The sequence below is a fragment of the Homo sapiens genome, chromosome 12, assembly GCF_000001405.40.
Source record: "Homo sapiens chromosome 12, GRCh38.p14 Primary Assembly".
Taxonomy (NCBI): domain Eukaryota; kingdom Metazoa; phylum Chordata; class Mammalia; order Primates; family Hominidae; genus Homo; species Homo sapiens.
The window spans coordinates 92,618,007-92,644,118 of NC_000012.12; the positions used below are offsets into that span (position 1 = coordinate 92,618,007).

Consider the following 26,112-nt stretch of genomic DNA (forward strand, 5'->3'; position numbering starts at 1 on the left):
CTTCATCATCAAGTGGAAGTGGCATACATGTGATTGGGCCCAAGCAGGACCTGAAGGCACAAGTTATAAGAAGTGGCTCAAATGCCCTTGGACCCCACTCCTGCTACATTGCCTTCTCTCTCCCAGCCTGCACCTATGGCCTCAGAGGGAGTGACCTATGATCAGTTGACAGAGAAAGACTCAGGCCTGGTTTACAGATGGTTCTGCATAATACGCACTTCTCTGCTAGTTCTTCCACTAACTAGCCTTTACAACTGTCTGTCCTCTTCCCATTGCTATGTCCCCAAACCAGGCTCTCAATGTCTTACACCACCACCCAAAAGTTAACAGCTATAGCACTACTACTCCTTTCTGGAACATCCCTGAAGGAGAGTGATGAAGGGAATTCCTCCCAGTGGATAGAACACCAGGAAATGCACCTGGCTGTTCATTTGGCTTAGAAGGAGAAATGGCCAGATATGTAATTATATACTGATTAATGGGCTTTAGCCAATGGTTTGGCTGGATGGTCAGGGATTTAGAAGGAACATGATTAGAAAATTGGTGACAAGGACATTTCAGGAAGAGGTATGTGGATAAACCTCTCTGGGTAAAATATATGAAGATATTTCTTTCATGTGAATGTTCACCAAATGGTAAACTTAGCAGAGGAGAATTTTAATAACTAAGTGGATAGGATGATCTGCTCTATGGATACAAGTCAACCTCTTTCCCCAACCACCCTTGTCACCACCTAACTGGCCATGGTGGCAGGGATGGAGGTTACACATGGGCTCAGCAGTGTGGACTTCCACTTACCAAGGCTGACCTGGCTGCAACCACTGCTGAGGGCCCAATCGGCTGCAGCAGAGACCAACACTGAGCTCCCAACATGGGACCATTCTCCACAGTGATCAGCCAGTTCTTACTGGTAGATTGATTATATTGAACTACTTCTACCATGAAAGGAACATCATTTTGCTCTTACTGGAAGAGACACATACTTTGGACATGGATTTACCCTCCCTGCATACAATGTTTCTGCCAAAACTACCATTTGAAGACTTACAGAATGCCTTATCCTGATAATGGTATTCCACTCAGCATTGCTCCCAATCTGGGAATTCACTTCACTGCAAAAGAAGTGCAGCAACAGGCCCATGTTCATGGAATTCACATCTTACCACATTGCCCACCATCCTGAAGCAGCTGTCTTCCTAGAACAGTGGAATTGCCTTTTAAATACTCACAGTACCAGCTAGGTGGCAATACCTTGCAGGGCTGGCACAAAGTTCTCCAGGAGGCTGTATATGCTGTGAGTCAATGTCAAACATATCGTGCTCCCATAGCCCATATATTGGATCTCACGGCCAAAATTCATGGGTCCAGGAATAAAGGAAATGGGAGTGGCACCACTTACTGCTACCCTTAATGAACCACTAGCAAATTTTTGCTTCTTGTTCCTGCAACTTTATCCTCTGCTGGCCTAGAGGTCTTTGCTCCAAAGGAAATATGAACCATTTTCACTCACAACACTTCTGACACCAAATGTGTGTGGGGATTCTCCCACTCCAAATAATTCTCCAACCAGCTGAGTGTTCAATAATTCAATTCAATTCTGACACTATCTACCTGGAGTTAGTGTTAGATTCCACAAGTTAAAAGGCTCAGTTCCCTAAGACTGCCCCCACTTTAGACACCAATCACAAGTCCTTGCTCTCCCATACTTGTTATCACCTGGCTATAAATGGGGGAGAGGGTCCCTAGACTCACTCCTCAGGTTTAATGATTTGGTAGAATGTCTCACAGAACTCAGGAAGGCCTTTTACTCACTATCATTGAATTATTATTAAGGATACAACACAGGAACAGCCAAATAAAAGAGATGCATAGGGCAAGGTATGGGGTGAAGGGTTGTGGCAGACTGCCACAGTTACTACTTGAGACTGTCACTATGAGACTGCAAGAAGGAGGACGAACGCAGAAATGAAACTATTTTAAAGAAGGGGGCCAAGGGAACAAGAGGGCTCTCTGCTTCTAGTGAGCAAAGGCAGCAGCCGGCTGAGCCTCTACAGCCCTTCATATTTATTGGGTAGAAAGAACAGGGAGCAGGAGGTAATGAATGGTCAGCTGCTTAATTGGTCACAGGTTCACATTATTGCTAACAGGCTTCAGATGTGCCTAATTACAAGAAACACTTGTGCCTGTGTCGTGACTGCCCTCAGCATTCCTTCTGGGTGGCAGACGCAGTTTGTCAGTTTGCCAACATCCTGCTTTCATGAGAAACAGTTTGCTGTTTACTCATATAGCTTCCAGTGATATACTGAGTTGATCACGACCCTCATTCTTTTGGCCTTCAACATCTCCCTTCTTCTGTTTTTGAATTAATTGAGAAAGGCAATTGCAAAATGTGCAGCCTTCAATTGCCGGTTGGTGGTTCATTCTGGCTTTGCATTCAGCTGGTGCTGAGGGAACCAGGCCCATGGCTGGGATCCATGAGTCCCTCCAGTCTCCTGTTCCTGTATCCATAAGCCCACAAAACTTACTTCCTTCAATTTACACTGCACAAGTGGGTCTATTAGATGCTATGGGTTGTGACAGATAAATTTCCCTCCTAGTTGTACTTCCAAATCCCTGATTCCCTCGTTTCTCCTTCTGTGGAGAAAGGTGTAATTTACAGGGAATAAGCAACAGTTGAGCAATATATTCTCCCTGGTTCAAAAACCCAAAGATCTTGTAACATTACCACTAACTGAATTTCTCCTTCACAATCGGAATCAACAACTCGTGGGACTACAGTAATGTCCTGTATGTTAAGATGACTTTTATCCAGAATTAATGCCATGTATCCTGTTGGCAAAGGTCCCCAAATACCAGTGGGAATCTTAGTGAATTTGTTTCCTCCAATTAATGTAACCCATTCTGTGACTGGGAGATCTAATCCTGCGCTTCCAGGTGTTCCTAAGCCTTTTGTACATCTCACAGGTGCCAGTGCACGTTTACAATCTGTTTGCATTCCCAAAAGCCAAAGCCAAAGCTAGCATTTCTGCAGCCACAAAAGAAGATGGTACAAGCCAATTTTCATCCTCCTTCTCCTGTTTACCACTTTTGATAGGTGCTGTAGGTGGGGCAAAAAATTCTCTCAAACCCTGAAATAATAGCAAAAAGACAGTACAAACCAAACTTCAAACAAAAAAAAGAAAAGAAATAGCCAAATTCTTCCCCATGTTACCCTGATTTAAAAACTTCCCATTTTTTATACCTCTAGGGCACTGACCAGTACCTTTTTAGAGCACTGACCTTATATTGCTGCCAGCACACTTGTAACGGGGTTTCTCGTTTGTCTGGTTGGTTTTAGTTTTTTTCTGGGCTTTTAGTTTCTTCTACTCCAGCAGACCTTCCTCTTTCAAGTCCCTATAGGACCCTATCTTTCCCTGTCTGTCCCTGCAAGTTTCTGCTAGCTTCTGCTAGTCTCTGCTAGTCTCTGCTAGTCTTTGCTAGTCTTTATCCTTATCTGCCCCTGTCTGTCCCTATGGTCCCTGTTGGTTCCTGTAAGTTCCTGCAAGTCTCTATCTTTCCCTACCTATCTCTGTTTGTCTCTATTTATCCCTACTTATCTCTATTTGTCCCTTTGTCCCTGCAGGCCTCTTCAGGTCCCTTCAGGTCTCTGTTTGTCCCTGATTGTCCCTGTTCCAGCGCCACTTGTGGCAGGCTGCCTCGGTTACTACTTGAGACCATCACTACGAGACTGAACAAAGGAGGACAAACACAGAAATGAAAACTTAACACAAAAGGAACTATTTTAAAGAAAGCAGCCAGGGGAAGAAGAAGAGGGCTCCCTGCTTCTAGTGAGCAAAGGCAGCAGCCGGCTGAGCCTCTATAGCCCTTCATATTTATTGGGTAGAAAGAGCAAGGAGCAGGAGGTAATGAATGGTCAGCTGCTTAATTGATCACAGGTTCACATTATTGCTAACAGGCTTCAGCTGTGCCTAATTACAAGAAATACTTGTGCCTGGGTCATGACTGCCCTCAGCATTCCTTCTGGGTGGCAGATGCAGTTTGTCAATTTGCCAACATCCTGCTTTCATGAGAAACAGTTTGCTGTTTACTCATATAGCTTCCAGTGGTATACTGAGTTGATCACGATCCTCATTCTTTCGGCCTTCAACAAAGGGTGCATGGAGTTGCATGCCATTTTTGTACCTCCCAGAACCCCAAGTGTTAACCAACCCTGAAATTCTCTAAACTTTATAGATTAGGGGGTTTTATGGTGGTCTGTTTATGTAGACATGACTGACTAAATCACTGGCCATTGGTGAGTAACTCAGTTTTTAGTGATTATCTCAATCTCAAATCTCTTTCTTTCAAACCTCTAGTCATGCCTTGGTCTTTCTAGCAAGCAGCCCTCATTCCAAAGCTATCTAGAAGTTCTCAGCCACCAGCCATCTTATTTGCATACAAAAGACATTCATCAACATATATGGTATGGTACATATCATAGCTGTCAATACACATCTTGAGTGAATTGATTTTTGTAATTTTTATATTGTAAAACTATAATTTTATAATTTAACCATCAAAACTAAATTCCATAAATGTCTTTTTAGAGTAGGGAAACTATGGTAAACAAAGATGAAACACCTTATTACCCAATGCATTTGGTAGCAAAATTAGTGTCATAATGCCAATTTCTGTTTTCTAGTCTGCTGCTCTAACTGCCAAGCCCTTCTATATCTTCTCAAGAGGATTTTGAATGCAATATGTTTCTCATTTGGGTAGATTACTTCCTGTCTTATTTTCCTTCATAGCACGTAACACTGTCTATTCTGTGTAGACATTCTATATGTTACCACTATGGTCTGAATGTGTCCTCCATAAAGCATTTGTTGGAAACTTAATATCCAGTGCAACAGTGTTGAGAGGTGGGACCTGATGGGAGGTGTTTAGGTCATGAGGGCTCCATCCTCATGAATAGATTAATGCTGACTCTAAAAGGGCTTGAGACTGCAAGTCTGATCTCTTGCTGTCTGTTTTCCCTTCTGCCATGGGGTGACACAGCAAGGAGGCCCTCATCAGATACAACTCGATCTTGGATTTCTCAGCCCCACCAAATCATGACCCAAATACATTTTATTATAAATTATCCAGTCTGTGGTATTCTGTTATAGGAACACAAAGTGGACAAAGACATTTACTTATTTACCATTTTATTGTCTGTTTCCTCCAACTAAAATGAAAGCATAGGTGGTACAGGGCAGATATTTATATCTGTTGTGCTCATTGGTATATTCCCAGAGTCTAAGACAATGCCTGAAAGAGAAGGCACTCAACGAGTATTTGTTGGATAATAAATAGTAGGTGTTTGATATATCATCTATTAATTAGTGAATAAATGAATGAATAGCATAGTACATGGAATTTAGTTTTCCAGAGATATCATGTGCATTTCACAGTAATCTTCCCTCTTAAATAGAAGCTATAGGTGCTATTTAACTCTTTATGACTCTGGATCATTGATATAACCTAAGTCACTGCAAAGTAATGCCTTCACTGCCTATCAAAGCTTTTAAAACTGGCTATTCCTCAAGCATATTTTGTGTGTGCAGTCATTTCTCTCTACCACTCCTCACTGCTTTCTTTGTAGTTATTTTGGTCAAGTCCTTTTCTAATTTGCATGTTCAAACTCAGGCTTATTAAGCTCCTTAGAAATTAATCTGTTGCCTTTGATTGACAACTAAGGGATTTTCTTATAACTCAAATTCTATTATTTGAGTACTCAAACAGTTCTTAATGTACATTTTTGCTCCCCAGAAGTCACTCTGCCAACTTTCACATTTTACTGTGCAGTCAATTGAAGTAACAAAGCAAATGATTTCTGAAAGCCTGGGAAAATGGGCTATTAATGAAATTTTGGCTACTATATATGAATATATATATATTGGTATATATATATATGTATAAACTATGAATTGTGATGTACTTCACACGCAGAAAGCAAAAGTCTTTGTGTACATAAAAGGGAATGCAAAAATCTGGATTTTATGATCACTAAATTACTTTTCAAAGAAAAGTATATACTAAAATCCCCTAAAAATTCTTCAGTTAAAAGACTCATTCATACTTATTAAATTCACTATTTGCCTTTTCCCAGATTCAAATGTAACATCAAAATTCACTGATTTACTTTTCAAAGGTCCGAATTATTTTAATTGCTTTTTAGAATATGATGCCCTTAGCTCAATCAAGTAGTATTAATTCCATCTCTCTGTGCAACTAACTTAATAACCCTTTTAGCCTGTGGATGCAGAAAGTAGTTCAGAGCTTTGAAGATTTGTAACCAGACCCCTTTAAGTCCCACAGATGACCTGATTAGGTTGATTAAAGTTCTCTGAACACCTTAGTCATTTTGCAGTGAGGCAGCTGCTGTATTACTCAGAGCAGTAATATGTGCCTGACCTAATTCTTCAAACTTTACACTGGGGTCAAGCCGCTTAAAGCCAAAAGAGTTTTTGTTGTTTTGTTTTGTTTTATTGTATCAATAGAAAAGTAAAACATAATGATTTAGGGAAAAAAAATTCACCTTTCAGGGCTGATTTCTATCTTTGGCATTCTGAATCACTTTTTCCTATATTGGTCCTCCAATTATGAGTTTCTTTTTTGCCATCTTCTCTCTGTCCTAATTCCTCAAGATAAGTTCTTCTCTTCTTGAAAAAAAAAAAAAAAGATGAGTTTACAGTCACTAGCTTTGAATCATGTCATAATATTATGGGCTAAATTGTGTCCCTCTCTCCTAAATTTTAGAAGTTGAATCCTAACCCCTAGGACCCCAGAATGTGACTGGATTTAGAAATAGAACCTTTAAAGAGGTAATTAAGGTAACATGGGCTCCTATAGGTGGGCCCTAATCCAATATGGTGGTATCCCTATTGAAGGAGATTATAAGAGATATGTGGGCACACAGAGGAAAGACCATCTGAAGACACAGGGAGAAGGCAACCATTTGCAAGCCAAGGGGAGAGGCCTTAAAAGAAGCCAAACTTAATGACACTTTGATCTTGAACTTCTACCTTCCATAATTATGAAAAAGTAAATTGTTGTTTAAGCCACTGACTCTGTGGTGCTTTGTTATAGGAGTCCTAACAAACTAATAATGCAGCTTTGCCACTTCCTAAGCATATGACTTCTCTGTAACGGTGAAATCTACGTCTACTTTGAAGAATTTGGAGAATTAAGCAAAACATACGAAGTTCTCAATTTTCCTACATAATGCATTGCTGAAAATTTTCAAATTGGTTAAACTTGAACATCACGATTATGTATTCAGTAAATGGGACTCCATGTTCAGTGTGCTATAAAAAAATTCCTAATTTCATCCAATTCTAAATATAATCTTTGACCATTGATTTTTAGAGTTTTGCACATGTTCTATAATTTTGTTCTTTGCTTTGACAATTAAACCACAGTCGACTGGCTTAAGATCAATGAATGTCCAATTAAGGATAAATTGTCCCAATTTTTGGCACCCTGATGCTTTCCAACTTTTTCTAAATTGAATTAAATGCATGAGACCACATTACTCATTATTAAAATCAGTACTCTTATACTTTCATTTTTTCCTTTCCATGCATATTATAAAATAAGTACAAAAGTATGAAAAAATCCAAATTATTAAATAAACCACTGCTACAAAGATTAAAATGGAGGATGCTGCCAGAATTGAACTATCAGCCGAGAGGCAACTCTACCAGGCTAAAAAAAAAAAAATGAATTCGTTATTTCAGGTCCACAGGTCTAAATTCAACCTGGAAAAGATGATGAAGGAGGTCAAATGTATAACAGTACAGTTGTGGTTTATGTGCAAGCAATGACTCTGTTAGCTGAGTGCCTTGTTCTCAATAAGCAGTAGCTATTATGATTCTTATTGTTGTTGGTTTTGTTATAATTGCTGATGTTAATATCTAAATGTATTCTAATTGTGTCATATGTCTAAGTAGATTGGTCTAAATAGATTGCAAGGACTTGCAGTCTACCAACAAACATCCATCAAGCACTGACTTTGTGCCAGGCATAGGACTAGAAGGTAGTGATGTGAGCCCCTGAGTCGCTCACATTCTAATGGATGAGGCACACACATGAGCAGATCAACCCCAGTGTAGTGTGGCAAATGAGACAAGGCAAATGAGACAACCAAGGTGTGTATAGAGTCTTCAACCACAACCCAACTGTCTCTCTTTTATGGGGAAGGGCCACAAGAGTAGAATCAGGGGGGACATCAAGAAGGATCTTAAAACCTGCACAGGAGAGAGGTACTATTGAATACTCCTCTGCCATCACAGTAACAGGCAAATAATATGTGCTTCAGTGATCATTTGTTCTGTGACCAACATGTTTGTTGTCCATTTTGTACTCTTCTCTTGGTCGCTGCTTATCAATGGTCTTTCAATAATTCTGCTCATAATTATGTTAAGGCATTCATATGCTGTACTTTATTTCTTTCAATCCAAAGACATTGAATATAAGATACACTCTGTTAAGTTTCAGCTGAAAAAAAGCAAAGCTCAGAACTGTCGTGTAGTCTGATAAAGCTTATGTAGCTGGGATGTGGTTAAACCTGCTATAGTCTGAATGTTTGTGTCCCCTCAAAATTCCTATGCTGAAACCCAATCCCTAGTGTGATAGTATTAGGAGGTAGATAGTATTGGGAGGTGATAAAGTCATGAGGGTGGAGACCTCATGAATGGGATTAGTGCTTTTATCAGACTGTAAAGAGACCAGAGTTCTCCTCTTCCACCACATGTGGATTCAGCAAGAAGATGCTGTTTATGAATCATGAAATGGGCCCTCACTAGACCTCAAATCTGCCAGCACTTTGATCTTGGACTTCCCAGCCTCCAGAACTGTGAGACATAAACTTTTATGCCATAGCCACCCAGTCTATGGCATTTTGTTGTATTAATAGCAGCCCAGATGAACTGGTACTACCTAGATATTCTGACCTCCTTCCAGAAAGTCACCAGATGACTAGTGCACGGTGCTTGCTCTTATACTGCGTTACCCTGTGCTATTGTGAAACAACTGTCCTTGTCCTTTATAAAATGTAGGTCTGTAAAAGGGATCACAACAGCCACTGCTATTCGCAAATTATCGAGACCACCCAAATTAATAAGTCATATTAATCACAGACTCACCCAATATGATGACAAAGGGAATCTTAAAAACCATCTAGTTAAACTCTCCATATTTGACTGATAAGGAAACCAACGCCAAAGAATAAATAACATGCCCAAGGTCACCTAGGAAATAGGCTGGAGAGCTAGGGCTGAAACACCAGCTGCCATCCTTCTGTACTGCTAATAATTAGGTAACTTAGGTAACTATCAATTAGATCTTTGAGGAACAATATGTGTGGCAGTTTAGAAAAGAGACCCCACAGCCAGAGACCCTCTGATTAGAATCTGCTCCACAACACATACCAGCTGTCACTTAAACTTTCTGGACCTTAGTTTCTTGTCTGTAAAATGGGAATAATAATCATATCAACTCAGAGAGTTAAATGAGATAACATGGCTGAAGCACTTCGAGTCATACCTAACAGAGTAAGTATTCAATGAAAGGAAGATGGCATGCTTATCTTCACTACTCATGCTACAGACACTAGGTAGATACTATTGTAAAAGCTATGTTATGGTCAAAATGCTAGAAATGTTGATTTGCCAGTCCCAGTGCAGGATTGTGCAAGAGAATTTCACAGGCCACAGAGGGCTGCCTACCGTGGCCACCTTTGAGGTTACTACTCCAATCTAGAACACCTAAAGATAGAAATTTGCAAAATCCTGGGAAATGCCTCATGTTCAAAACAGAGTAGTCTACTATGCAAGCCAATATCTCTCTTCTATGGATATTGGTCATTAAAACCTTTCTAACTTAATATCTATGGACTATTAAATCTAAATATTTTTAACAGCATTAAGCACCCTGGATTGCTGTGTATAAATCTACTCCATTTTTACCAGTTAAAACGTTCCGCACTAGACACATTTTTGCTAGTACATTAGAACCACACAGTTAGTACCTTTTTTTTCCCCTGAGAGAAAGAGTCTACATTTCTGACACTGCTAGAGGAAACAAAGCTACTTTGTTATTAAACTACCATTGTTTTTAGTTCCTTTGTCCACAAAACCATAATGAGACACATACAGAGTATCCACATTTAGATCTGGTGTGCTAACAGAATGCTTTCTTTCGGGGAAAAAAAGTATATATAAAGAAAATTACTGTACAAATAAACATGTCCACCTGTTGACAGTGCTGGTAACCACTGGGCAATATACTTTGTCTCTCTGAGACTTTGTCACAGAAACCACTATATCTAAGGTGACTTCTAAAGAAGGTACGCATTTCTCATGACCTTCTCAGATGGACAAATCTGCATTGAATGAGTTAGAAAGACAAGAATAATTTGCTCAGAAATCATAGACGTTATAAGTGAAGTTACTACGCTTTTTAATTCAGAAATTTGGCACAAGAGACCAAATAAGCATTTAGAGAATTTTATAGAAAGAAAAATCTCTAGCAGTGATTAGGTTCAGCTAAGTGGAAGCTCAGTTTCTCAGTATAAAGGTAGCAAAGCTGGGAAACCCCAATATATATTCAACGGCTAAATCATTCCTGACTCTTGACCATGAATCCCACAACTCCCTGTTTTGTTTTTACTTGCATGAATCACTGGTGCAATGCCTCATTAATTTGCAAAAGTAAGGATTTTTTTTAAGTGACATACTCTATACTTTTAAATTCTATATACACATTACATATTAGGTGAAAAGATTAGAGGTTACAAAACCATTCCTGATTTGATTGCTTTAGGTAAAAATAAATTTAAAAAATATAAAAAGTAAAATTCAGGAAGAAAATTATTAATAAACAGAAATAAATTCAATTATTTCTTCCCTCTTTTGTTTGGTAAAATAGTAGATTGGGCCTCCCTTCTCTCTGAGTCCTTAGAATATACACATGCTCATACATCTACAAGAGTTTTTCAAATAGAGTAGTCCCCTGTTACTCACAGGGGATACGTACCAAGACCCCCAGTGGAGTCTAAAACCACAAATAGTAGTGAACCCTATATATACTAGGTTTTTTTTTTCTGTACATACATACCTGTGATGAAGTTAATTTACAAATTAGGTACAGTAAGAGATTAACAATAACAACTAATAATAAAATAGAGCAATATACTCTAACAAAAGTTACGTGAATGTGGTCTCTTTCTCTTCTCTCAAAATATTTTATTCTACTATACTCACTTATTTTAGGACTCTGGTTGATTGCAGGTAATTGAAAGCTTGGAAAGCAAAACCCTGGATAAGAGGGACCTACTGCTCACAGTCTCTCCAGGGACCTTATGTCAAATCTGAGAGGGGAGAAGAAATGTATGAAGACAGAACCATTTTATGGAGCATGGGGCTCTGCCAGGCGCAGCTATAGATGTTATCACATCCATCTTCTCAGCCACCCTGTGAAGGAGTTATCAGCAGGCCCATGCAGACAAAGAAATTGAGGAAGATTCAGTGATTCGCTCCAGGTCAGCAGCTGGTAAGTGTAGAGTCAGTACTAAAGCAGGGTCTGTGGGGATATTGTCACACCAAAGGGTTAGGGCCTGGAAGACCTGGATATACCCCCGACCTGCTACCACCTCAGGTCTGGGAAAGATCACACTTTAAGCTTTTTTTTTCCTTTTTTTTTTTTTAACTGCAATGAGACAGAAATTTCAGAAGAGGAAAAGAATCTGGAAACAGAATCTCTGAATCTCTGACCGTCTAATGCTGCAGGTTTTGGAAGGCTGCCAACGTGCTCAAGGAGCCATGGAGAAAATAAGTGCTGTCCCTTCAAAGAAACGTCTTTCAGAAAGGAAAAAAAAAAAAAAAAAAAAAAAATCCCATGAACGGCCTTCTTTCTCTAGAAGACTGGAGGGATTTTTCCCTCAGGTCAATGACCATCACATAACTGATCATATTTTCGTTTTTGTTTTGGCCCGTGGCAAGCATAGAATCAAATTTACAGCTCAATTTTATTAACCTCATAGGACACTCTAGTCTAAATATTTATTCTAGCTTTTGACATGGCCTTTCCTTTTTATGTTTATATATTCCTAGGTACCAATTTTCAACTGTTTTATACTGTACTAGCTTGTAGATTATGTATGCTTGCTGACAAACTCAGTTCCTATGTAACCAATAGACAAAATAAATAATTACTTCAATAAATAAATAATTTGGTCACTCTCTTTAGTACCTGATACAGTTGTTAGTCTATATTAGTTTTTATTAACTATTCAATATATTTACTTCACATTACAAGTTTTACTAATTGTATTCAAGTTATTTTCTTATTCAGACAAAACACAATTGTCAAGTATACACCATATGCCAGGCACTGAGCTATGGGTTGGGCTTCCAAGGGAAGCAGCACACACACGGCCTTTGCTTTCAGGAAAACAATGTTCTTGTCTCACATACAGAAAAATAAGTGCTGTTGCTATCTGTGATAAGTGCAAGGATGAACTACAGGGAGCCCATAACAAATAGACTTGAGCTAAACCCAAGGGTGGGCAGGATTTCCCCAGGCATGTAGCGTCTGAACTAAGCTCCAGCAGCATTATGTAAGAGAAGAGGGGAGTGGAGCAAGATTGGAGTTGCGGGTGCATTTCAAGCAGAGAAAACATGTGCAAGGACCTAAGGGTAGACAGGAAGGTGGCTTCCTTCAAACCCAAAAGAAGGCAAGTATGTCCAGAACTTGGAGACCCAGGGAAGGAATTGGCCTTACGGTTGACAGACAAGCCGTGTTAAAGATTTTGGTCTTTGTCTTAAGAACAATGATGAGGATATTAAATGACTTGCTCGAAGTAATCTATCCAGTAAATAAAGATGGGTATAGAGAATATAAATAAAACAAAATGTTAACATCTTCTAACCAGTAATCAATGCTAAGGGGAAATCTAAAATAATCATTGCGTTAGCACTTTCGCATATAGGATGTCATCAAAATCTCACAAGAATTCTATTTAAATAGTTATTACTAAATGTATCATTACATCTCCTAGGTTACAGATGAGAAAACTGATGCTCAGGAGAGTTAAGTGATTTGCTTTGAGATTACAGTCAGAAAGGTGGTAAAACTGGGACGAGAAATCGCAGCTAGTTAATTGAAATCTTACATTCTCTCCATGAAGCATGCCCCACGTGGTGGTTAGCTGGTCCTTTAAATTCACTTTCAGAACTGGGTACCAGGGAACAAATCGGCAGATGCAAACCTGTCTGTAAAACTGACCTTGAGGTCCATTCTTGAGGCATGTAATTGACAGCAGAGGAGAATATATGAGGCAGAGTTTGTAAGTTATTCTAATAAATGGAAAGTCATTATCTAGATTATTCATGCACATGCATGATCAATCTTGGATTTTTACAAGGGAAAGAAAACAAAACATATTTCACCATTGAAAGGTAATTTGAAATTTGTAACACTTAAGATATTAAAAACCTAGATGACCCTTACCTTTACATGCTTTGATTTTAAGAAGCTAGAATTCAGGTAGAATTGAATGTTGTTATTTCCATCCCTAATGAGGGGGAAATAAAAATTTGAAGAGGATCTGAAGAAACTGTTCCATTTGTTACATAAACAGTGTTCTTTGCTGTTGTTTTTGCCAAAAACAAACTTTTTGCCATTTTGGTTGAAATGGTACTCATGCCAACAAAGAAGAAAATCTCATGAGAAAAAAAAGGAGCCATAGAAGAGAGGCAAACTCCCTGGAAAGTCATTCGGCTCCAGGGGCAGAGCAATCTCATCAGGTCCTCAGCAGCAAACGCTCTTGAATTGCCCTCAGGAGTGCTGCCATTCCCAGGACCCCACAGTCCTTCTGCGAGTCATCTTCCTTCTATTCACAATGTGGCAGCATTTGTTAGGAATCCCCTGGTTGTCATAGAATAGGAGCATGAGCTTGGACAGGGTCTCTGTCTTCTTAGCTGTGAGAATTCACTAAATCTCTGTCACATCCCAATCCCTCTCCTCCCCTGACTATCCACTTTCTCCTCTCCTCTGTGTCATTTCCCTACATGACACCTCTGCTTGCTAACACTTGTGGGTGATCATTGCTTTGGTTCATTCACAACCCCTATAGGCCTCTGTGATCTTAGGGCCTCAGTGCACCCGAGTTCTTGCCATGTGAGTTTTGGTGGCTGCCCCTCCCTCTGTGTTCCTCCATCTGTATTCCTCAGTACATATTCACAAGAGAAAACCTGATTGCTCTCATTAATGACCCCTGTTCCAGTTTTGGTATAGCTGCTTCTATGAGGCCACTTTGTGGACTGCCGGCATGGGCCACCCTTGGCCCAGGCAATCACCACTCTCTTGGTAAGATGGAGCTGAGAGAGGTCACATGGAGAATCACTTGGTACCAATGTGAGAGCAAGCTCTGTGATCTGACCACTTGGGTTCAAATCCCGGCTCTGCCAATTACCACTGTGGGACTTTGGGCAGATTCCTCAATGTCCTCTCTAAAAAAGGAGGGTAACTGTAACACATACCTCACTGGGCTGTGAAGATTAAATGAAACAACACACGAAAAGAATTTAGGGCTGTATTTAGTACTAATAAGGACTCCATAAGAGTTAGCTATTATTATGCACATCCATGTAGCCGTGAGCATACTAATTGCCCTTGACTGGGAACTGAAGGCCCAGAGGAACCCATCAATAATTTGTTCAGTCACAAGTGTGAATTTCATCAGCTTCAGCTCTGCCTGTCAAAGCTCACTAACAAGGTCTTGGATTTTTGGATTTTTTTCCTCTCTAAATTATTTTCACCTCACCAGTTTCCATCTGAAAAATTAATATACACAAGTGTGGGGAACTTCTGGAATAGGCTATCGAAAATCCACTTCTTTGTTGGAGCAAGTGAAGTATTATGGTTGAGTTTAGACAGCTTTTTGTGGTTGTTTAGGTGAAGACTTTCACGTTTCTGTGTGTATTTAAGAAGAATTTCCTCATCACTGCAGGACCTGTTAAGATCTAGAGGAATTATCTGGCAGGCTGGAAAATTAGCTTATTTAAATCTGGTTTAATCAAGCCAAATAAGTCATAGGAGAAGAACTAACTAAATTTTCATATTTAAATCCGCACGTTTAACTGTTATGTGACAATACAGAAACAGCTTTAGTCCAAGGTGGCATAATCTCTGACCCCACCTGAACTGATCTGTCTATGAAATGGCTGTTACAGCCTAATCCTGAGATGACGTGAAGTCACCACATCCCCACTGTGCAACCCTGGGGAGCACCATTCACACCATATTCTAGAATACCTTGAAAAAGCCCTATCCGAAGTCTAGACCTTCCAGAAAATCTCATCAGAGTAGGATGAAGAAAAGACTACAGATGTTGAAAAGTTTCCAAATTCACAGACTGATATTTGTTCCGTGGTTGCAGCATCGTTATCTGTCATTAACATAAAACTCAGAAAACCGTAAATTGGACCGTGTTACCTCCCATTTTCAATCCCTCTAATAGCACAGAACAAGAGCACTTCAGTGTGTATGAGTGCTGCTGCCTCTCTCTGCAGCCTCATCTCATGACAGCTTCCTCAACCCTGCCCTGGCTCAAAACACTTCAGCTCCTTTGCCTCCTTTCTGAGCCCAGCACATGCCAAGGTCTCTCCCAGCTTATGGGGCCCAGGCCCACATGAGCCCCCTCTCTCATCACCTACCTGAGACTGCTCCTGCAGCCCCAACCCAGCATTTCCAATCTCAGCACACTATTTGTTTCCCACATAGCACTTATGGCTTTTAATTATTCTATTCAAGATCTCACTTGAATTCTGAGATCTCTGCTCTTCAACTAAAGCTGCATGAAAGTGGGAACTACCTCTATTTTACTTACCATTAGGGCTCCAATATTTAGCAAAGTGTCTGGCCCACAGGAGGTACTCAATAAATATTTTTTGAATGAATTAAGGAAAGGAGGGAAACCTAAGGGCAATTCACATGCTGCAGAGGAAGAAATAAGTGTCTTGTCCCTTAATGCAAGTAGATGGACAAAAGCTGAGAGAAAATACAGCAGACTAAAAACTTCTGTCCACACAAAAACCTGCACACAAATGTTTATATTAATGATGCAGGATTTTTTGCTCCTTAGTTCAGCTAAAATCCGGGTTCTTGTCACATGACCAGGAAAATTTAGGCACATGGACATATTGAAAGGTAAGGAGAGTGGAATTTATTAAAAGAAAACTCTCAGTGAAAAAAAGGGGTCCTACCAACAGGCTCCCAGCTCACAAATTGAGTACCAAGCCACCACACAGGAGCTGAAGAGGCCAGGCTCCTCCCTCTGCATAAGGTGTGAACTCCCAATGGCTCCGCTGCACTCTCCCAGTGTGCAGGCGGGCTCTTAATCTGAGCCGCTCCACATTGATTTATTTCCCTTACTGCGCATGTGTTAAGGAAGGGACGGAACTTTTCAGCATGGGCATATTTAGGCAAGCCCCCTGTGCACAATGACCTGGGTGGCATTTGACTGTCTCCTGTCTCTGTCAATAACATTATTCATAATCGTCAAAAACTGCAAACAACCAATAAATCCTTCAATAGGCGAATGAATAAACAAACTATGCTACATCTGTACAATGAAATACCATTCTAGCCATTAAAAGAAAGAAGCTATCAAGCCACAAAAATAAAGGAGGAACTCTGGATATATATTCAGAGTGAAAGAAACATCTGAAAAGGCTACATAATGTTTGATTCCAATGTATTTGTTTCTGAGGGCTGCCTCAACAAATTACCACATACCAAGTGGCTTACAACAATAGAAATGTAATCTCTAGCAGCTCTGGAGGCTGAAAGTCCAAAAATAAAGATGACGGCCAGACTATGCTCTCTTGAAGGCTCAGGGGAGAAACTGTCCATGCCTTTCTGTTAGAATCTGGAGTTGCCGGCAATCCTTGGCATTCCTTGGCTTGAAGCTGCATAACTCCAACCTCTACCTCCATTATTACATAGTGTTCTTCCTGTGTCTGCATCTGTGTCCAAATTTTTCTCTTCTTATAAGAAAACCATTCATATTGGATTAAGGGCCTACTCTACTTCAGTGTGACCTCATCTTAAATAATTGCATGTGCAATTCCCCAGTAGAATCTTGTTTCAGGGTACTAGAGGTTAGAATTTCAACATATCTTTTTGGAGGTGTCTTGTTCACAATTCAGCTCATAACATTCAACTCTATGCCATTTTGGAAAATGCGAAATTATTGAGAGAGTAAAAAGGATTCGCAGTTGCCTGGAGATTAGGGGATGAGGAGGAGAGGGTGAATAGGTAAAGCACAGGAGATTTTTAGGGCATCGGACATACTCTTCTGTGTGATGCTACAATGGTGCATACATGGCAGCCTGCATTTTTCCAAATACTTAGAACCCTGCAACATAGTGAGTCAACCCTAATATAAACTATGGACTTTAGTTAATAAGAATGGATCAGTAGTGGTTTATAATTATAACAAATGTACCACACTAACGCAAGACATTAATCACAGGGAAAACTGGGATGGGGAAGTAATATAAGAACTCTTTCTTTCTGTTCAACTTTTTTGTAAGCCTAAAACAATTCTTGGCCGGGCACGGTGGCTCACGCCTGTAATCCCAACACTTTGGTAGGCTGAGGCGGGTGGATCATGAGGTCAGGAGACCGAGACCATCTTGGACAACATGGTGAAACCCCATCTCTACTAAAAATACAAAAATTAGCTGGGCATGGTGGTGGGTGCCTGTAATCCCAGTTACTCAGGAGGCTGAGGCAGGAGAATCGCTTGAACTCAGGAGGTGGAGGTTGCAGTGAGCCAGGATCATGCCACTGCACTCCAGCTTGGCGACAGAGTGAGACTCTGTCTCCAAAAAAAGAAAAAAAAATCATTAAAAATGAAGTCTATTAATAAAAAATGAAAAAAAAAACAGGCCACAGTTCAGATTTGGTTTCTTCTAAGAGTAGATGGTACAGTAGTCCCCCTTTATCTGTAGTTTTGAGATTTATGATTTCAGTTATTCTTGGTTAACTGTAGCTCAAGGAAAATACCAGAAATAAACAATTTATAAGTTTTAAATGCTGTGTCACAATGCCTACATTATTCATCTCACCTCTTACTACTTAGGCATTTCATCATCTCACATCATTAAAGAAGGGTAAGTAAAGAACAATAAAATATTTTGAGAGATCATATTCACATAACTTTTATGACAATATATCATTATAACTGTTCTATTTTGTTATTAGTTATTGCTTTTCATCTCTTAATGTGTCTATTTTACAAATTAAACTTTATCATAAGTATGTACATAATTAAAAAAAATATAGTACATATAGGGTTCAATACCATCCATGGTTTCAAGCATTCACTGGGGGTCTTGAAAGGTATTCCTCATGAATAAGGAGGGACTGCAGTATATAGTCTTGTCTTTCTGCAGTTTTAAGAAAGGCATTTATCCATAAAGTATTCTTTACTCCTTTCATGTAGTTTTTTCTTCTTTTCATTTGCCAATTATCATGACTACAAACCTCAATGTTCCAATTACTCTGTGGGAAGCTGTTAGATATCAAAAATTCTGTCCCAGAAACCAGTCTTGGATTTTAGTGCTCTTTCACCAAAGTTTAACATTCAAAGTTGCTGGTTTTCTTTGGTCTTGGCAAGTTGTGTGTCATGGAAAAAAATAAAAAATTTTTTAAAAACCCGACAGGACAAAGAGGACAAAGAGGACAAAGAGGACAAAGAGTCAGTAGTATGGAAATATAATCTACCATACATACCAGAACATTTTGGATAGTAAAAGGGGAAAAGGGGAGCTGTTAAGTGTAAAATAAACAGTCCCAGGAAGACTGGGACATGAAATCACCCAAACCAAAGAGTCCATATTGGAGCTCCAGCCCTGCTACATATCATTTGGCTATATCATTTATCCAAGTCCCATTTGCACAATGGAAGCCTGTAGGCTGAAATACTGTTCAGGGACACCAGACACTGATCTGTTTCTCTTTTTCTTCCCTGCTACAGATAAAGATAAAGCCTTCTTAGTTTCAAGGACAAAGAGATCCAGATGTTTGTAACAGTCCTTCACATAAGATAATATAAAGAATCTTCCAGAAAAGAGATGTAAGCCCTACATTTAAAGAGTGATGCTACTGTAAGAATTGAGCTTTCCAGTTCTAGCAAGACCATACCTGGCACAGTCAGGTGCCTGTTAGGGATGGGGGAGGGAGGCAACAGATATTTTGCTGAGATGTAAGTATTTGCTCTTGTTTTTGGTCCACATTCCATTTCATATTCTTAATGCACTGGGTTTAATAGTGTCTCCTAATAATCCATGCTTACCCAGAACCTCAGAATGTGACCTTATTTAGAAATAGGGTATTTGTAGATGTAATCAAATTAAGATGAGGTTATATTGGAAGTAGTGTGGGTCCTAATTTCAGTATCAATGGTATCCTTATAAGAAGAGAAGAGCCACAGACACACAGGGGACAAGCCTCCAAAAAGACGGAGGCAGAGATTGGAGTGACGTATCTACCAGCCAAGGAACCCAGGAATTGCTGGAAACCACCAGGGGCTAGGAGAGAGGCATGGAACTGATTCTTCTCAGAACCTGAAGAAGGAACTGACCCTGCCAACCCCTAGATTTCAGATTTTTGATTTCCAGAACTGTGAAAGAGTAAGTTTCTGCTGTTTTAAGCCATCCAGTCTGTACCAATTTGTTAAGGCATCTCTAGGAAACTAATATACTTGTCTAAATAAATGTGGAATTAATCTAATCTTAGAGTAGTTTTTGTGTTTGTTCTTACCCTATCATTTTATAACCTACCTGAAATGCTACATCCCTTCATCACGTCCCCCAAGTCTAGTCAGCCACCAAGTGTTTTAGCTTTCTTCATCTTTTCTGTTGTAGATCCAATCCTCATGACATCCTTCTTGGACTATGGTAATGGTCTAACTTCTCTCTCTACCTCCTACCTTAACCTACTCTTATCCCTCCTCCAGCAAAGCAATATTTTTAAAAACTAAATTTGGCTGGGCACAACGGCTCACGCCTGTAATCCCAACACTTTGGAAGGCCAAAGCGGGCAGATTGCTTGAGCTCAGGAGTTTGAGACCAGTCTGGGCAACATGGTGATACCCTGTCTCTACAAAAATATACAAAAATATAGCTAGGCATGATGGCATGCACCTGTAGTCCCAGCTACTCGGGAGGCTGAGTTGAGAGAATCACCTGAGCCTGGGAAGTTGAGGCTGCAGTGAGCCGTGATCACGCCACTGCACTCCAGCCTGGGTGACAGAGTGAGAACCGGTCTCAAAAAAGATAAAAAGAAAAACTAAATTTAATCAAATCTCTTCTTGCTTAAACCTTCTTAATGGCTCTCAGAGCCTACAGAAAAAAAAAACTCAAAGTCATTTTGCATAATGTCCTAGTAAGCTCTGGTTGCTGTAACAAGATATAGATTGGATATAGGTATAGATTAGATAGTTTAAACAACAAAAAAACATTTTTCACAGCACTGGAGTCTAGAAGTCCGAGATCCAGGGGCCAGTAGATCTAGTGTCTGTGAAGGATCTCTCCCTAGTTTGCAGATGGCTGTCTTCTTGTAATATTCTCATGTGATGGAGATCAGAAAAAGAAGCAAGCTTTCAAGTGTTTCTTCTTTTAAGGACGCTAATCCCTATCATAAAGGCTCTGCTGTCATGACACAATTACTTCCCAAAGGCCCTACTTCCTAATACCATTACATCAAGGGTTAGGATTTTAACATATGAATTTGAGAGAACACAAACACTCAGTCCATAACACATGACATACAGAACGTTTTATAATATGACCCCCAACTTACCTTTCAAGTATTTTACCTCTTGTATAATACTGCTGGAGTTTTAGAAAATTAGTAATAGTTATTCAAAAAACTAAGCAAGCACACGAGAACAATAACCTAAACAAAGCAATTATTAACTGTAGGGGAAACAAAAAGTCACAAAGAAAGGAGATGTAATCATATTACTTGGATGTAATCAGATTGCTTGACACAGGTATGAAAAATCTTTATAAAAACCATTGTGCAGGAAAAAAAGTCAGCATAGCAGGCCTGACTGCTATGCTTTAAAAGCTTTGCTTACAAGGTTAACTCTTCTGCCCTTGGCTGTCATCATTTCAGGATAAGTGATTTACTGTGCCTAAACTGTCTGTGCAAACAATATGGCTTGTGCTGAGCACCTGCTTTTCTTTTAGCAGTCTAGAATTTTGTATATGACAAACAGAGAATGCCCAGGTGACAAGCCTTCAATTAAAAAAAAATAAAAACTATGGGCACTGATTCTCTGCTGAGCTTCCCTGTGTGACAATATGTCTCACTTTTTGTCACAACTTGAGGAATTATGTGTGTACTGTGTGACTCCACTAAGAGAAGACTCTGGGAGCTTGCTCCTATCTCCTGTGGACTTCACCCATATCCCTTTTACTGTTGCTGATCTTATTCTGTATCCTTTTGCTGTTAAAAAAAAAAAAAAAATCTTAGCCATGATGATACCAATTGAATGTATCCCCCAAGGTTCATGTGTTAGAAACTTAATCCCTATTGTGACAGTGTTTCAAGGTAAGACCTTGAAGAGGTAATTAGATCATGAGGACTCTGCCCTCATAAATGTATTAATGACATTATCTGAAGAGTCAGTTTGTTATCTTAGGAGTAGGTTTTTTATAAAGTATGTGTTCTTCCCCTCTTACGTGCACTCTCTCTCCCGCTCTCTCACTCTCTCTCACAAGCTCTCTTGTCCTTCCACCTTCTGCCATGGGATGACACAGCATGAAGACCCTCAGAAGATGCCAGCCCTTTGATCCTGGACTTTCCAATCTCCAGAATCATAAGCCAATAAATTTCTGCTCATTACTAATTACCTAGTCTTCTATATTTTGTTATAGAAACACAAAACAGACTAAGACACATAAGTACAACTATATACTGAGTCCTGTGAATTCTAATGAATCATCAAACCTAGACGTGATGTTGGGGACCATCAACACAATAATACTGCAAACACTGATTATGTTGGGGACCCTCAACACAATAATACAATAAACATTGATTATTGATTTAACAAAATAATGATATTATCTAAACTTGATAAATGAAGAAATATAAGCATATTGCCTATTAATAAAAATGTAAATCACAGAAAAAATAACTAGAAGTAGAAAGAGGTTTCCTCTGAGCAGTGGACTTGAGATAGGAAATGGTAGATCCAGAGATGGCTGTTTTTTGTAGGTTTGTAGTCATTTTAAAACCATATATATAAAAACATTATATACATAAGCTATATTATATATATTTTTTATAAAAATTAAAATAAGTATAGAAATTTTTGCTAGAAAAATCTCTTTAAATTTGCGTTGCTATTATTACTAACTCTTTGTGCCAGGTATTTGGCTTTTTCTGTTACATAGTCAACCGTATTTAATTTTTTCACTCCCTCTCTCTCACTCTGACAGATACACAAACTTAATACTCTACATAGGTTATATCACTTAATCTTCACAATATAAGAATTCTTATTTAGATGAGTTTCCAGATAGCTGATGATGAAAATAGTCCCCTAAATCCAAATCTTCCTAAATTTCCTCCAAAAGCAATATGAAATAAAAACAAATAAAACTATTCAAAACCCACACCTTCAGCAAATAGAAGATAGAAAATGCCCAAACCTCAAATTACCTATACATAGAAAAAGCAACACCAAATCCCAAGGAATTATCTCTCAACCTCCTGCAAGTCCTAGTAGAGAGCAAGAGCTGACTAGAAAAAGTGCACAGAAAAGTGGAACTGGCAGAAAGCCTAAGACTGATGTAACTCACCTCCAGAAAGAGCAAATCTACTCTAAGGGCATCAATCCTGAAAGATATCTGGAAGCTCAGAGCAGTGGTCACAGGGAGGGACATTAAGAGTGTGTGCCATTCTAGGTGGCAGTGCTCAAAAGATATCACTTACAGTGGAGAAAAAGCAAATTTGAGTAAATAAATAAGTAGAATGCAAATAAAGGAAGCCAGGTTTCTCACTGTCCAAAAAAGGAGGTACAAATCCAAAATGAACCTTGCGGAATTGGACTGGAATTGGAGGTACTATGACTTTGCATATACGTGGATAGAAAGATATAGAAAATGATATGGAAGTGTGTGTGTGTGTATATATACATATACACACACATATATGTACGTGTGTGTATATATATATCAGTCTATGTATATATAATCATATATATATATATCATCAGTGTGTATATATATAAATATACTTTTGCACCAGAAAGTAAGAAAATGCTTAAAGAATGACAGCAACGTGCCAAAACAACACAGGACTCAGACTGAGAAGACATCACTGGCCAAATCTGAGAATAATTTGAGCAAAAATAAATAATGACATAATAATGGTTATAATGGAAAAGATCTGCCTTGCATTAGAATGCAAATAATAAATCTGGAAAGAATAATAGAAGTTATAAAATCAACATGTGGCAACCATCAGAGTAATAATTGATTGCCACAGATTGTCAATGGATGCTAAAACTTGTGAAAGCTTGATGAGAATAGGATATTTTGGTAAATGTTCTCAAAGTATCTCCCCACAAGACAATTATTGCAAAGGAAAAAAGTGGTAGTTTCATAGTGGAGAAACCTGGCAGATACCATCTTGATACATCAGAGTTATCAACAGTTGTGGGACAAACTGACTTATATGGAAGGGCTAAAAAGAATTTAATGCAAAAATGCATAACCTCAAAAACATCAGAAAAAGCCAAATTGGGAGGTATTCTATAAAATAAGTGGTCAATTCTCTTCAGAATGTCAAGGTCATAAAAGCAAATAATTCCTAAGAAATTGTCATAGATTAAAAATCACTAAAGCTAGCAGGTGATCCTCAACATTATTGGGGCAATTGACAACATTTAATTAGATAATAGTATTACATCAATGTTAATTTCCTAATTTTGATAACTCTTCTGTGGTTATATACCAAAAAAAAGTGTATTTATCAGAAATACACACTAACATACTTAGGGGTAAAGAAAATTCTGTAATTTACTTTCAAATGGTTTGAAAAATATATAAACACAGATACAGAGAGACTGAGAGAATGACAAAGTAAATGTAAGTATTATTAACAACTGGAACATATGGGGTGCAGTACACAAGGATTCTTTGCACCATTCTTGCAACTTTTCTATAAGTTTGAAATGATCGCAAAATTAAAACATTTTTTAAATAAAGGAAAATTATTTAAAAATCTTCATTTGGCAAGAAAGAAAGCTTTAAATTAGGTTGGGTTCTGCACGTGGTTGCACAGGTAGTAGGCCAGAAAGCAAGGAGTTGAAACCAAATCTGCCCCTTGCTCTTAGCCACCACAGCATACTGCCTACTCACAGACAGCCAAGTCCACATATTAGAAAGTTTCATTCATATTAAATGTCCATAATAGGCAAATATATAGAGACAGAAACTAGATTAGTGGTTGCCTAAGGCTGGGAGCAAGAGAGGAAATGGGAAGATGAGAGAGTGATAACTAAAGGATGCAGGATTTCTTTTCAGAGTGATAAAAATATTCTACAATCGATTATGGTGATGGTTGCAAACTCTATGAGTATATTAAAAACCATTGAATTGTACACTTTAGGTAGATGAATTACATGGTATGTAAATTATATGCAATATGAATCACATCTTAATAAAGCTGTTACCAAAAAAAAACCCAAAATTTACAAACGCTGAGAACTTTGTATTTCTGAATAACATTGTGACATTCAACTCTATTTCATACACAAGTAACTTCTTCGGAACAAGAAAGAATCATGCTGATGAAACCAACCCAATAGTCCCATAGGCAGTTTTTTTCTTGGAAAAACATAAAAATTGACCCTTTGGGTCTTCATGTTTGAAATTTCATTTGTTTTATCTGAGTTCCTTCTTCAGGAAAGGACTCCCAGACCTCTCAAAAAGTATCAAAAAATTAAAACTCACCAGATCATCGTATCCAGACAATGAGACACCAGACCCCTCATTCATCATGATTGCTTCCTTGCCCCTCCCTAGTTCCTGTTTTCCCATACATTTCTTCCCTGCTATATAAACCCCTAATTTTAGTCAGTCAGGGAGACGGATTTGAGACTGATCTCCCAACTCCTTGGCTGGAGCACCCAATTAAAGCCTTCTTTCCTGGCTATGTTCATCGTCTCAATTATTGGTTTTCTGTGTGGTGGGCAGCAGGACCTAGGCCAAATCCCTGGTGTTTTGGTAACACTGGCACCAAAAATAACGGTGAACTGCTGCACCATTCATCATTAAAGCACAGAGCAGCCCTTGACTGAAGCTTGAGATCAACAAACCACATATAGAAGGTGACTGACAATATGTCTGCCTAGAAGGTGAGTCCCATGGCACCTGCTCAGCCTTTTGAGGATCATTCTACATAAAGCTAAAGAGGAAAGCAAGTGGACTTTGTTTCCATTACAATAAAATCCAGTAAGTGCTTGGTTGAAGAGGAGAAATTCATATTATATTCTCCTCATCAACCTTGTTCAATGTTTGATCTCCTGAACCACTGAGATGCTAAAATCCAATTGTAGAAAAGCTTTGATTTCATTTTTGCTTTATGTATTTCTATACCATTTGAATGTTGTCAAAACAATTTGTAACATTTTGCTCTTATTCAGAGTAATTTTTTGTGTTGAAGAAGTAGGAAGATGTCTCAAACTGGGACTGCACCAGGGCCTTTTGTATGATAAGAATAACAGAATGCAGAATGTCCCAATTAACTTAAAATTATCTACTTAGAGGCTGGCTTCTTAGGAAAGGCCTGCCTTTCCTATGGATATAAAACTACTTATGGGATTATGTGAGATCTCCTATAGGCCCTTATAGCTTCCTAAAATCCTTTCTGGAAATAATAGGGCATTGCAAAATAAATCTTCAATAGCAATTGATATGACAAATAGGATATAAGTAACTCTTATTCTACAGAAAAAAAATCACAGAGACACTTGGGTTGAAGGATTCAAGCCTTCAGTGG

The 26,112-nt window shown here is 38.8% G+C and overlaps 2 long non-coding RNA genes across 2 annotated transcripts in view; one reads left to right on the forward strand and one right to left on the reverse strand.

Moving 5' to 3' along the window:
- LOC105369905 (uncharacterized) overlaps positions 1–12,249 on the forward strand; it is a 72,972-nt gene extending 60,723 nt beyond the window's left edge. Inside the window, exons 2-3 of the long non-coding RNA XR_945211.3 lie at positions 11,313–11,574; positions 11,745–12,249. This is a non-coding gene — a long non-coding RNA (uncharacterized LOC105369905). The remainder of the gene's footprint in view (positions 1–11,312; positions 11,575–11,744) is intronic.
- The window catches only part of LOC124902983 (uncharacterized), a 57,302-nt gene that overhangs the window by 20,301 nt on the left and 10,889 nt on the right, over positions 1–26,112 (reverse strand). The window lies entirely within an intron of this gene.